Source organism: Homo sapiens, chromosome 4 (genome assembly GCF_000001405.40).
Source record: "Homo sapiens chromosome 4, GRCh38.p14 Primary Assembly".
Classification (NCBI taxonomy): domain Eukaryota; kingdom Metazoa; phylum Chordata; class Mammalia; order Primates; family Hominidae; genus Homo; species Homo sapiens.
Genome location: NC_000004.12, coordinates 6319663 through 6333195, shown reverse-complemented (window position 1 = coordinate 6333195; position 13533 = coordinate 6319663). Strand labels below are relative to the sequence as shown.

The following is a 13533-nucleotide window of genomic DNA, read 5'->3' as shown; positions in this document are numbered from 1 at the left end:
CATTAAAGAGGGTTAAGCGTTGCCCTCCCAGGGTGCATCCGTAAGCAGTGCACGCAGAGGTGAACTGAGCACATGTTTCCTTTCCAGATCCTCAGCACAGGCCTATAAGCCTGGAGTCTAGGTGAAGCCTGGGCCCTTCTTGGACAGTATTATTTATTATCTTGCTATTATCATCCATTCAGATATGTTAGGGGGTAGACAACAAAACTCATGTGATGTTAAAATAAAATGTGGACTTGAAAGAAATGTGGGATGGCTTCAAAGCTGGTTCCAGTTAGGTGGGGAGATCAGGGAGGCTTCTTGGAGGAGGTGGCATTTGTGCTGGGCCTTGAAGGATGGGTAAGATCTGGCCGTGCAAACATGGGTGGGAAAACACCCCACCAGAAACCCCAGCCGGTTCCTCACCGTGTCACTCCTCACACATGGGGTGCCACGTGCTTGACATCTGTCACCTCCATTCTTTACTGTCCGGTGACAAGGAGCCATCATCCTATTTGGTGGAAAGGGAACTCGGGCACTGAGAGGTAGGGAGATGAGGGAGGTGTCTCTCGGCTGGGCGGTGACAGATTCAGAGCCCAGGCTCAGAGCCCTACGCTTTCCTTTCCTCCGTGCGAAGACCTAGTAGGAAAGCGTCCTGGGTGGCGCAGGCCTCGCTGGGAACTGGTGCAGAGCTCAGAGGGTGGGCTGCTCTGATCTGACCTGGGCCCCAGAGGAACAGCTCACGCTCCTGGAAGCCACACACCCACAAGGACCGCTATGGGGACCGCCTGTTTGTCAGCCACGTGTGTTTACTTGAGTTCTTGCGACTGCCCCAGCTCCTCCCTCAGGCCCCCTCCTCACACTGCACACCCCAGGCAGGACTCAGCCCTCCTCTGTCCCTGTGGGAATGGCAGAGACCCCAGACTAGGAGAGGGACAGGATAAGCCCGGCTCAAGCCTGCAGGAGCAACTCTCTGGCTCCCTCTGGAGGCAGCTCAGGGAAATGAACATTTCCAACCCCCTCCGGCCCCTTGTCCGGTCACTTACCTCCATCCCTGAGGTCAGCAAAGGCCCATGAACCCCTGAAACTACGTGGAATGTGTTCTATGAGCATTTTCAGGGGGAGGGGGACACAGCTTTCTGAAATTCTCATGAAGGACCCCACGAAGGAGGGGAATGACTGTTCTGGAGCGTGAGGCCGTAAGCTGGGCACTTGGCATCTGGCCCAGCTGACCTATTGATGCTAAAATAATAGCAATAACTACATAAAAGCAGCACAACAACCAACATTTTTTGGTGGCTTGTGATGTGCTAGAAATTGTGTGTAGCAGGACTGCGTTCGGCTGGTGTGCGGTGCTTAACAAATCGGGGCTATTTTTCTCCCACAACAGGGAGTCTGGAGAGGGCAGTCCAGGAAGGTGGGGGGGCTCCATGACCCCGGCAGCGCCACAGTGGTTCCTTCTGTGATCCAGTCCACCATCATTTGGGCGTTGGTTTTCCACCTTCACATGTGGTACCTCATGGTGGCAAAGTGGCTGCCACACCTCCAAGCACTTTGCCTACATTCCAGGCAGGAAATAGGAAATGCACTAGATCTCACCCCTGGGGTCTGTTGCGTGTTTCACTGTGATTGTAAAATCTTCCCCAGAATGCTTCTCAGAAGACTTCTTACACCTCATTGTCTAGAATGGGTCCCTGGCAGCCACCATAGTGGCTGGGAAGATTAATGGTTTAACAGCCTCTGTGGTTGAAGAAGGCAAGGGTGAAGGGGCTGGGGACGGTTGTTGAATGAGCCACACTGAGGTAAGTCCATAATATGCTTTGCCTCATCTAAGCCTCCCAGCTGTCCTGGGAGGTGGGGCCGGTATTCTCCCCATCCCATTTTATTGGAAGACAATTGAGTTAAATGGCAAATCTGTGACAGAGCCAGCAAGCAGCGGACCTTAGATTGACAGTCTTTCTCCAGAGCTCTTCCTCACCCTGCCACTAGAGGGCAGGAGATGCTTAGTGCACGGCAGAGAGAACAGCATGCGCATTTGGACGCGTGCATCACCAAGGCTGCTGGGAGCTGAGTAAGGAGGACACACAAAAATGCAGAGCCGGGGGTGGGACACGAACACTAAAACCTGCTGCCATTCATCCCCCTTGATTTTAGTTGTTACACATACTGAGCCAGTACCCTGTGCCCAACACAGTGCTAGACCCTGGACCCAGAGAGAAGGAAGAACCTCGGCCTCACCCTCGAGGGTCCCAGACAGACAGGAACACAGTGACCCTCAGCTTGGTGGGGCTGCAGCCCAGGGGCCCAAGGGGAAGGCAAGGGTCACCAGGAGGACACGGGGGCTGGGGAGGGATGAGCAGGGCCCCAGGCGGGAGTCAGGTAGCCTTGTCTAACCATCCTGTGTGCAGTGAATAGCAGGCCCTTCCTCCCAATCCTGCTTCCCCTAGTGCCACTCTGTTTTCCTGTGTAGTCCTTGCCACCATATTAGTCAGATGGCTCAGAGAAACAGAACCAACAGGATGGGGATAGAGACTGAGAAAGAAGGGAGATTTGAAGGAATTAGCTCACGTGGCATGTTCTAAATCTGCAGAGCAGGCGGGCAGGCTGGTGACCCAGGGGAGAGTGACTATGCGAGCCCACACGCATCTGTTAGCGGAATCCCCCGGTCCTCAGGGAGGTCTGTCTTTGTTCTATCAGGGCCTTCGACTGATTGGACAAGGCCCCCCACATGATGGAGGGCAGCCTGCTTTACTCAGTATATCAGCTTAAATGTTAACCTCCCCTACAAAATGTCTTCACAGAAACACCAAGTATCTGGGTACCTTGGCCCAGCCAAGCTGACACACGAAATTGACGTTCACACCACCCTTCACATTTTCTGTGTTCGTTGGAGTTGTTAATTTCAACTCCTGGGAGTTGAAACCAGGCTCCATGGCACCCAGTTACCTTCCCTTCCGCACCCAGAGGGCAGAGCCCGTGCCCTGTTGTCCTGGCAGCTCCAGCCTCAGCAGAGGGCTGGCACTCATGCGGCCCTCCGGGTACAGGGCTTGTAGGACCGGCTGCAGTCAGGTGGATGCAGGTCCTGGGGTGTCACCCTCTCTCCTGTGGGGTACGGGAATCCTGGGGAAGGGTCCTGGTCAGCCTCTTAGAGGCTGTGTGACCCTGTGAGCCTCAGTGCCTCGTGCTGTGGATGGATGAGAAACCTCTGTGGGTTCCCTCTTCCCCTTTCTTGATGGCCGCCACCCTGTGTTCTCGGAGATCATTACCCTCAAAAGGCCTGCCCTGCACTTAATGCCAGAACCACTGTGAGGTTCGCCCTCTTATCACTTTAAGTTTGAAGAAACTGAGGCTCAGAGAGATGAAATCACTTGTCCAAGATCACACAGCTGGGAGGGCAGAGCCAGGATCTGGACCCCAGGTGGTCCTGGCCCCTGTGCTGTGAGCGTTCTGTTTGTCACAGTGGACTCTGCTCCCTGGTGCTACTCCCGTCTCTGGCCACAGCTCAGAGGTCAGCCGTGTGCCTGGTCGTGGGCCCCCGATAAGATGAGCAGGGCTGTATTGGGCTGTGTCACGGTGGAGGTCAGCCGTGTGCCTGGTCGTGGGCCCCCCGATAAGATGAGCAGGGCTGTATTGGGCTGTGTCACGGTCGGGGTCAGCCGTGTGCCTGGTCATGGGCCTCCCGATGAGATGAGCAGGGCTGTGTCGGGCTGTGTCAGAGCATTCAGACCCTCGCTGAGATGAGCAGGTCTGCGCTGGGCCATGTCAGGGCATGCAGACCCTCGCTGCTCTTTGAGACCCTTCTTGTGGAAGGGCCAGGATGGTCGGGACGCCCCGTCCACTCACCTCATCCCTTATCCCACCAGGTCCATGACTACCTTCGGAGCAAGCTCTGTTCCCTGTACGAGAACGACTGCATTTTCGACAAGTTTGAATGTGCCTGGAACGGGAGCGACAGGTAAGCCCTGACCTCAGCCCGCACCTCACCTCACCGTAGGGAGGGTTTCTGCCCTGCAGGGGTCTGGGCTGGGATTCCGGTGACCCGCAGCATGGGGCTACTCAGCCTCAATGGGTCCAGGTGTCTGGGTGAAGCCCACGCTTTCCAGAGCAGGTCCAACTCTCAGCGCTCAGATTCAAGGGGCAGGACATGAAATTCTTCATCTTCTGTCACTGAACCTCACAGCCACGTTGGCGCCTGCCCTATGGGCAGTAGTGGGAACATGTTTAGTTAATTCAGGGTCCCCGGTGATGTGCTCCCCTCTCCCAGCTTGTCGGGGGCGAGGGCTATAGCCCAGCACCCGGTCACCATCATCCATCCACACCTGTATGTCCTGAGACAGCCCTGCACCCCTGTGGCTTTGACCATCGGTCTACTCACCCCTCCTCCCATCACCACTACTGTCTCCCTCTCTTCCTGGTGACACCCCACTCGGGCCCGCTGAGGCTCAGGGGCACCTTGGAGCTCCTACACCCTCCAGGGCTTGTCACAATCCACAAGTCCAGCCGTCTCTCAACCCCACCTGCCTGGAAAGTGGCGCCCCAGTGCCAGAAGTGAGTTCCTGTGTCTCCCTAGCCTGGGCTCAGCCCAGGGCGGGCATGGACAAGGGGGCTGTGGCAGGGGCTCCTGACCTGACCTCTACCCGTGGGTCCTTACCTCTGTGTCTCTTCTCTGGGATTCTTCCTCCATTCTGGAGGTGGGAAAATCCCTCTTCTGCCCTCCCAAATCACATCAGCTTTGTGCTCAGGGTCCTGCCAGGCGTAAGATTCTGAAATGGACAAGCCTACTCTCCATCTGTGAGTTTCGATCTCAGAAGCTGAGAGGTGGCCTCTCAGTGTCTCCTACAGCTGCTTCCTCAAGGACAGGATGCCTCTTTGTCCAGCCGCCCAGATTCAGAAGTGGGTCTCCAGATGATACACAGTGTGGAGATAAAGACTACACTGGCTGCTAGATCAGAATACCACCTGTCAGGAGCCCATGTACTGTCACCTCCTCCCCGCAGTCCTGTCCAGTGTGGTGGGCAAGGAGGGTGGAGTGAGAGCCAGCAGCCCTGACTTGGGCATCACCTGGTGGGGGGCTGTCCACCCTGTGGATGGCATCAGTCAACATGACAGGTCTGGGCTCTCCCAGACCTCTGAGGGTGGCTGGCACTGTGGTGGTCATGTGAGAGCTGCCGCACTATGACTCTCTGTGGCTCTGGGCATAGGGCTGGGACCATCAGGGTTGGTGTGTGGGATGAGGGGAGGGCTGGACATGGCAGAGACAGGACCAGGAGGGAGCCCCCTGGAAGCAGGGCTGGATCCAAGTGGGGGGCCAAGTCATTGTGTCCAGGGAAGGAGATTTCTGAGAGAGTTGCCAACATCCTGGAGCTCCCCCAGCCCGCAGGGGTCTCTCAGCAGAGCCCGAGCTCAGGCAAGGGGCTGGCATGGTGATCACAGGGGGCCACTAAAGGATGCTTAGAAAACCAGGATGGAGGCCCGACCCGGGGCTGGGCTGGCACAGCTGGGTCAGCAGGACACAGGACCTTCTCTCTAGGCCCTGCCCCCAGATAGATCCCAGACACCCCCAGCAGACAGGGCTCCTCCCATGCTGCTGAGCTGCATTTGGGGTTCCCTGGTGCAGTGGGTCCCAAGAGGGTCTATCCAAATCGGACGAGAGGGACCTGCAGCTGTAACAAGCTGATTCCAGCTTTTATGTGCGTTTTGCGGGGTAGGTCCCCGCTGGCTGCGACCCACTGCCCGTCCTTCCTTCAAGCTGCCACCAGGGGGCACCCGCGGCCAGGTGATGCCTGCTCCCAGGACTGGAGAAGCCGCCAAGCATCCCCAGGCTGACAGTGGTGTCTAGGCCTGGGCTCTCCTGTCCTGCCTCCCACCCGCCACTTCCTGCGTGCACTTTACACGCCAGCCACGCCCTGTCCTAGTGGTCCCCCACCCGCCTCACTGTCTCTCGCTCCACAGCTGGCTCTGCTCTGCCCGGCTGGAACCTCTGTCCTTGTTTGCCTCCCGCAATGGGTGGGGTGCCCTGGGGGGCTACTATGACTCAACCTGTTCTGAGCCCTTCACTGGGGACCTCAGGTGTGTCCAGTGGCTGTGGGTGTTTCTAGAAGGCATAGAGGTGTGCCACCTCCCAGTTCACTTTGAGCACTGTTCTGAGAACAACATGCCCCATGGTCAGGGGTCCCAAGATAAACAGACCCTGGGTCCTGCCTTCCAGGGCCTCAGAGGCTCAGGAGAGAAGCAAGGATTCCCCCCAGGTTCCCACATCCTTGCAGACCAAAGCAAACTCGAATCCTGGCAGGCTCCCAGTTGCTGCCCTCTTATTCCTGGTGACCCCCTCTGACAGTTGGTCCGGCCCGCAGAGCGCCGCTGCTGCCGCGTGGTGGCTGCCCGATGGCCCCTGCCGTGGGGCTTCCTAGCACCGGCAGAACGCAGATGGGCAGCGTGCTGTGGAGAGGCAGCAGCTCTCCTGCTGGACTCTCTCAGTCTCTGGTCCACATTCTACCCTCGCCACCGTGTGCTTGAGGAAGCCCCTAAGTCAGCTCGGCTGGAAAGTGGTTCTAGGAAACTGGCCTTCGTGGCCGCTTTGGGGATGAGACCATGTGTGATGCCTTCAGCAAGATCCCAGTTCGTATGCGCAGGGGTGCCGCAGTGATCCTGCGTGGACTATCCTATTGGCAGGCCTGCCCTTCCCCAGGTTACCTACCCGGAGGAATCCCGCAGGCCCTCCCACAACAGGCTTCAACGCCCCCTCCTCCATGAAGTTCTCCTTGATCTGTCCTGCCTGGGGGGAGAGATTTGTGCCAGCCGAGCGTGCTCGGGTGCGGGAGTCAAACACACCTACACTTGCTCTGAGGAGTCCTGGGCAAGGCTCCCCCAGGGGCCCATGCTGTATCCCTAGGGCTGTTTTTTTCTCTCCGGCCGTTTTCTTCTCTCCATGCTTCCCCATCTCCGCTCCTCCCTGCTTCTTCTTACACACTGGCCTCATCCTCTCCCTCTTCAGAGATGACCCCCAAATCATTCCCCTTTCCATTATCCTCAGCCAGCCAACCCCTCCCAGGGACTGTGTAAAACTCTCATGGAAGGATCTGATTGGCTCTGTGTGGGTCACTTGCCCACTTTTTGCACCAATCAGCATGGACAGGGATATCACATGCCCAAGTTGGCCAGGCCAAGGGGCGAGGAGAGCACTGTGATTGACCGCTCACAGGGATAGGGAGTGCAGTGGCGCCATCTCGGCTCGCTGCAACCTCCGCCTCCTGGAGTCAAACACTTCTCCTGCCGCAGCCTCCCAAGTAGCTGGGATTACAGGCGCCACGGGTGGCGAGGGCAGGAGCCTTTCTTTCCCCAAAGGAAAGAGGAGCGGAGCACTGGGGCTGAAAGCAGCCGGCGTTGTGGTCCCACATGCAGATGAGGCTAGGAGAGGTGAAGCAGCTCCCCTGCCCTTTTCCCTGTTAAGGGAACCTTCTGGAATTTAAGAAACCTGCCTGAATGTGAGGAATGGCTCTCATGGTGGTGCGGCCTGGTGCTCTAGGATGAGAGGGGCCCCTCCCTCTCCCCCAGAGCACGTGTCAGCTGAATTCCACACCCGAACAGGGGGAGGATCAGGAACTGTGTGGGTTGCAAATGACTTTAATTATGTCGCTCTCCTTCCACTAAATGGATCAGAAGAACCAGCATTGTGTGAAATCACCCAGGTTCATTCTGTGAACTGTTCCCTGAAGAACAAAGGGGGCTGCCTCCCCACTGTGCTGGCGCGGGGAGGGTGTGGCCTCCCCCAGTCAGCCTGTGGCGCCTGGGCAGGGCCCTTCTGTGGGACTCGTTCACCCGGCCCCCCTCGCATGCTGCTTCCCTTGTCCCAGGCTCTGAGTCACATATAAAGCGGGTGCGGCTTTGGTCACATGGACGATTAGGATCGAGGAGTACCTGGTAAATAACAAGAAGCAAAGTGCCTCAAGCCCAGCACTGTGCGGGGTGTTCAGCCTATGTCCCCTGATTCACGCTCACCAGGGGCTGCGTTCCCTTGTTGATCCCAGTTCTTATAGAAAACTAAGAGAGTGCGCATGTCAGGGTAGGGCAGAGCTGGGATCCGGACCCAGGCGGACTGGCCAGAGCCCAAGCCCCTGACTGCAGTGCCGGAGCTCACGTGTGAGCTTTTGTCCTCTGTGCATAACCCCTGGAGACCCAGGGATCCACCTGGTTCTGTCACAGAGCAGTGTCACCCTCAGGAAGCCCAGCTCAGCTTCCAAAAGGAAACAGGATTTCCTCCCTGAAGAGCCTTCAGCAGGACAACTTCTTTATGGTCGCTTTTCGTAACATCCTCTTCCTCCCCAGTTACCTTGCACCTCACAGCTGCTCCAGGGCCCTGCAGAGGCCAAACCCCAAAACCCTCCCTCTGGGCGCAGGCCCACAGAACTGTGCTTTCTCTCCTGCCTCTTACTATGTGGATGAACTTACCCTTCCTCCCACCGGCAGGAACCCCTTCTCCTTAGGAGCAGGGAGAGCAGAGAAATGGTGTGGAATTCTCTTTAGCGGGACGGTGAGGGCAGCGAGCCCCTGCACGTCAGCACTGCTCGCCCCGACCCTCATGGCGATGCATGTTTGTTTATTCGCCCGAGTCCTCGGGACAGGCGGGCCCCTGGAGGGAAGCAGGGCCTGGTGGTTTTCTGTCCCAGCTGCTTCCATGTCTACCTCCTGCTGTGGTTGCACAGTCTGTTTGGAAGGCCAGAGCTTTCTCTCCTGGACTAACAGAAATTACAGGAGGGTCTTTTCTTTTCTTTTCTTTTCTTTTTTCGAGACGGAGTTTTGCTCTTATTGCCCAGGCTGGAGTGCAGTGGCGCGATCTTGGCTCACTACAACCTTGCCTCCTGGATTCAAGCAACTCTCCTGCCTCAGCCTCCTGAGTAGCTGGGATTACAGGTGCCCACCACCATGTCCAGCTAATTTTTGTATTTTTAGTAGAGACAGGGTTTCATCATGTTGGCCAGGCTGGTCTCAAACTCCTAACCTCAGGTGATCTGCCCGCCTTGGCTTCCCAAAGTGCTGGGATTACAGGTGTGAGCCACCACGCCTGGCCAGGAGGGTATTTTCATGATGATTGGGGCAGAGGATAAAAAGGATCTTAGCTCCTGGCCCCAAAGTCTGCATGTTGGTGGCAGCTGACATGTGAGGGGGTATAAGAGACCCCAAGATACAGGGGAATAGAGGCAGGTGTGGTTTCCCTTTCCAGGGAGTGATGGCTCTGTAGGCTCTGGGATTGCTTTTTCATTTGTTTGTTGTTTTGGGACAGAGTTTTACTCTGTCACCCAGGCTAGACTGCAGTGGTAAATCACAGCTCACTGCAGTCTCTGCCTCCCCAGGCTCAGGTGATCCTCCTGCCTCCCCAGGCTCAGGTGATCCTCCTGCCTCAACCTCCTGAATAGCTGGGACTACGGTCATTTTTAATTTTTTTTTGTAGAGGTGGAGTCTCGCTATGTTGTCCAGGCTGGTCTTGAACTCCTAGGCTGAAGCAATCCTCCCACCGGGGCCTCCCAAAGTCCTGGGATTATGGGCGTGAGCCCCCACACCTGGGCTTATTTCTCGAGAAGGGGCTTGTGCTCCTCCTCACCTGATGCCTCTCCTTCTCCCACCAGCGTCATCATGACCGGGGCCTACAACAACTTCTTCCGCATGTTCGATCGGAACACCAAGCGGGACGTGACCCTGGAGGCCTCGAGGGAAAGCAGCAAGCCCCGGGCTGTGCTCAAGCCACGGCGCGTGTGCGTGGGGGGCAAGCGCCGGCGTGATGACATCAGTGTGGACAGCTTGGACTTCACCAAGAAGATCCTGCACACGGCCTGGCACCCGGCTGAGAACATCATTGCCATCGCCGCCACCAACAACCTGTACATCTTCCAGGACAAGGTAAACTCTGACATGCACTAGGTATGTGCAGTTCCCGGCCCCTGCCACCCAGCCTCATGCAAGTCATCCCCGACATGACCTTCACGACCGCAATGCAAGGAGGGGAAGAAAGTCACAGCACTGATGAGGACAGCTGCAGAGGTGGCAGTGTGTGGACACAGGAAGTTTGGGCCCCCTCCCTGCCCCAGCTTTCCTAGGCCAGAATTGTGTTTGGCAGTAATTGTCTGTTTAAAAAAATAAAAAGGAAAGGAAGCGTTCACCGCCACAAATCATAAAATGGACATGACTGTGGAGTCTTACAGTTCAGGGTTCTTTCATTCACGTCCCTTCCTGTCTCGGTCTGCGGTCTTTACCACATCAATAGGACTTTTTATGCGTCCGGGTTAATTTTTCACTCCAGTGCGTCCTGTTGCAGGGACCGGAGCTGATGGGAGCTGCTTCTCCCCCATGCCTCACTGGTCCCAGATCAGGGCTCCAGGGACAGATGATGAGTCTCAAACGAGCCAGCCAGGGGTTCTTTTGGTTATAAATGGGGCAATTCGCCCTGTCTCAGAGCTGATGACCTCACCGTTGTTTTTTGGATGGTGAATTCATGCTGAGAATTTGCAGATGCAAGCTCCTCTCCTAGGTCTTCTGAATGTCTTGAAACATCCCAGGTCCCAGGTCTGGTGCGGTTTCCCGAGAGGAGCGGAGTGGGGTTTGTCTTCTGTGTGCCTGTGTCCTCATCTGATTCACCTGCCATTTGCTGAGCCTCTGCTGTGTACCAGGCGTGGTGCTCAGCCCTAGAGGCAGTTGACTTACCCTCTGCAGCCCTCCCTGCCGCCTCACCCTTCAGCATTCACTGGGCACCTTCCCGGAGCGGACACTGACTCCCATGCACGATTTTTTGGAATCTTCCTCCTGACTGTGAGGTGGGTGTTCATTCATTTCCTCCATAAACACCAACTTCTCGAAGCGTGCCAGGCTCTGGGCTGGATGCTGGGGATAAGCGGGAACCCTTAGGATCCCCTCTGTCCACGAGAAGAAGCTGAGGCTCTGAGCGGATGCACAGGTCACCCATGGCAGGTGCCGTGCAGTGGTGTCAGGAACCCGTCCGGGTCTTCACACAAGGTTCTCTCCAGTCCATCTCGTGGGCGGCTCATGTTAGAGCGACATTCAAATGGAAGGTTTGGAAAGGAATGCCTCTGTCTTGTGAAGTAGGACATGGCAGACTTGGCGACGACAAGGGTCCAGGAGAACTGAGACGCAGGATGGAAGACAGAGAAGACCCCCCGGAGCTCCTCGCTCTGCTTGGTGGCTTCAGGAGTGTGGCCCTCCCCAGGACTCCACTTCATCCTGGGCTTGCACCCTCCTTGAGCCAATGCACTGAACTGCCTTTGAAAGGAAATTGCATGTTCTGACCATTTTAGGATACCTTTACTTTAAGGACCACACAGTCCCAGAGGACACATCCCTCGGGAACTCTGCCCCTCTGACAATGAGGGCCACAGAGAAGGTGGTGTTTCCATGGTAGATGCTCCTGTTCTGGTGATACCAAACCTGCCCACCCCTCTGAGTCGTCTTTGCTCATGGACTTGCAGCAGAGCCACGTAGTTTGGCATTTTGATTCAGAAAGTGGGGAGCAGAGACCCAGCCAAATCCAAACTTTTTTTTTGGTTTTGTTTTGTTTTGTTTTTTACAAGATATAACATAACCCAGGAAACAGACCCAGCTGAGGTTATTCTCAGTGGATTACAGTATACTTTTGTGTGTGTAAAAGCACAAAGTGCATGTGTACTCACTTCTGGCCATATAACATTTACACAGGGAAATGGATCATTGATTTTTTTTTAATCAACGTGAATGAAGAATGTTTGTTTATATATCACTATAAAATCCAGTTGACCTGGACAGTATTATATGTACATATCTATTCTAATTAAATTTAACAATCAAAGGATTGGATTACTTTTTTCCCCCTTGTAAAGAGGTTCGAGAATGTGGTCAATTGTATAGATAGCGTGTTAAAGCCAAAACCCAGCTCTGAGGGCCTTACCCATTACTTGGATATTTGCTACGATCCATCTCCCTTTGTGAGTCAAATGTTAAGAGAAGAAACTTGTATTTGCAGCTAGAGGTTACTGTCACATCATAGATTTAACATTTACCATCTTCAAAGTACAAATCTTACATGTCCTTCAAAAGGAGGTCTTAATACAGTTCCTAGTTCCTTACTTCTGTTTTAAACTTTGGGTACCAAACCAAAAAGAAGAAAAAAGAAAGGAAAAGATCTTCTTTGAAGAAAAGTATGTCTCTGGATCCCTGGAAAATAATGATGTCCAAAGCAAATTGTGAAGATCAAATGTGTGTTAAGAAAAGGTGTCGAGGGGAGGGACAAAACCAGAAACGGTGGAAGGACCAGTGTAATAGTCACAGACTTGCATCCTGGCTCTGCTTACATTTCCTGGTACTCTCGAATGTACGGGCGTTCACATAGTCATTGTGAAGTTGTTGGGGTTTTTTTGGTTTTGTTTTTAATTTAGCTCTTCTCTGAGGACGAAGCTGTTGGTGGTGGTGGTGGTGGGGGTGGTGGTGTGGGATACATGGTGGTCAAGTTGTCAGCCCTGATCAGTTTGGACTCTGTAACTCATAGGTGCATTCTTTTTTTCTTTGGTGTCTCACAAATTACCCAATTGTTGAATAAAACTATAAATATGTTAATACCAGCTTTTTCCAATAAAATAACAAATGTTACATCAAAAACGAGGTCCAGAATGCTGTTTGTTTTTAGTGAGTCCAACCTCATGGAGGTGGAGCCCATCAGGAGGCAATACAGTGGGTGGGGATGCCCATGGGCTTTGCACTGGGAAGCTGGGTTCACGTCAAGGGTTTGCTCCCTCTAGCTCCTAATGCAGCTCTTAACTTTCCCTAGCTCTGAATTCATCACTGAGGAAATGGAGCTAATAAGACGACCTATCTTGTAGGTTTGTGGTGGGAGAGGAAGGACAAGATTAACTTGGATAGTGCAAAACACAGTGCTTGGCACATGACACTCCGTAATGATAGTTGTCTTGTTTTGTCTGGCAGCAGGTGTGCATAGCCCATCATGATCTCCACACACACTCACACTCTCCATGAGAATATGATACAGATGAGGAAACTGATTCAGAGAGGTTAAAGAATTAGCTCGCAATCACACAGGTAGCACATAACTCCTCATCCAGTGCTCCCCCACAGACGTGCCTGAGGGTCCCAGAGAATGGAAGCCTGCGGGGGAGAGAAACCACAGGGTACCTGGATTCTTCAGGAAGCCAGAGAGGCCCCGCCCCACCTGCCACAATGGCTGAGCTAAACAGGAGAGTGTGTGGGTAAGTGTCCCACGCACGCCTGGGTTTCCCTGCACCCTGCCTGGAGCCAGGCCCTGCCTCTGGCTTTCAGGAGGGAATTCTGGGCTTCAGGTTCAGCAGGAGGAAGGCAGGTGCTATTCTGCGGGTCTGCTGGCAGGGGCTTCATTGGCGCTCAGTTCCACAGCTCCAGGACAGAGCACAGGGAGGAGGTGGCCACTTCCTGGATGTGCGTCACTGGCCACTCACTAACCTCTCTGACTGTGTGTGTACATAGTGGGAGGGCATGCCGCTCCTCCTCAGTACTGTGGGGTGACTCGACTGAACCCCGCAGTCC

General features: G+C 54.8%; 1 protein-coding gene across 9 annotated transcripts in view, besides 2 other annotated features; it reads left to right on the top strand.

Annotated features, from left to right (window-relative positions):
• Positions 1–12615, top strand: part of PPP2R2C (protein phosphatase 2 regulatory subunit Bgamma) — a 243219-nt gene extending 230604 nt beyond the window's left edge. For all 9 annotated transcript variants that reach the window (XM_047415891.1, NM_001206994.2, NM_001206995.2 and 6 more), the window contains 2 exons: positions 3843–3934; positions 9603–12615. In XM_047415891.1, the coding sequence (XP_047271847.1) occupies positions 3843–3934; positions 9603–9894 (384 nt within the window). In that variant the 3' untranslated portion in view covers positions 9895–12615. The remainder of the gene's footprint in view (positions 1–3842; positions 3935–9602) is intronic.
• Positions 733–1234: an enhancer, noted in NCBI's record as "H3K4me1 hESC enhancer chr4:6333689-6334190 (GRCh37/hg19 assembly coordinates)". NCBI's record gives its function as "activates a minimal SCP1, AML or CMV promoter by ChIP-STARR-seq in primed H9 embryonic stem cells {active_cell/tissue: H9 hESC(primed)}" and the evidence as "EXISTENCE:reporter gene assay evidence [ECO:0000049][PMID:30033119]".
• Positions 5627–5676: a silencer, noted in NCBI's record as "silent region_15230". NCBI's record gives its function as "represses an Ori minimal core promoter by ATAC-STARR-seq in GM12878 lymphoblastoid cells {active_cell/tissue: GM12878}" and the evidence as "EXISTENCE:reporter gene assay evidence [ECO:0000049][PMID:35858748]".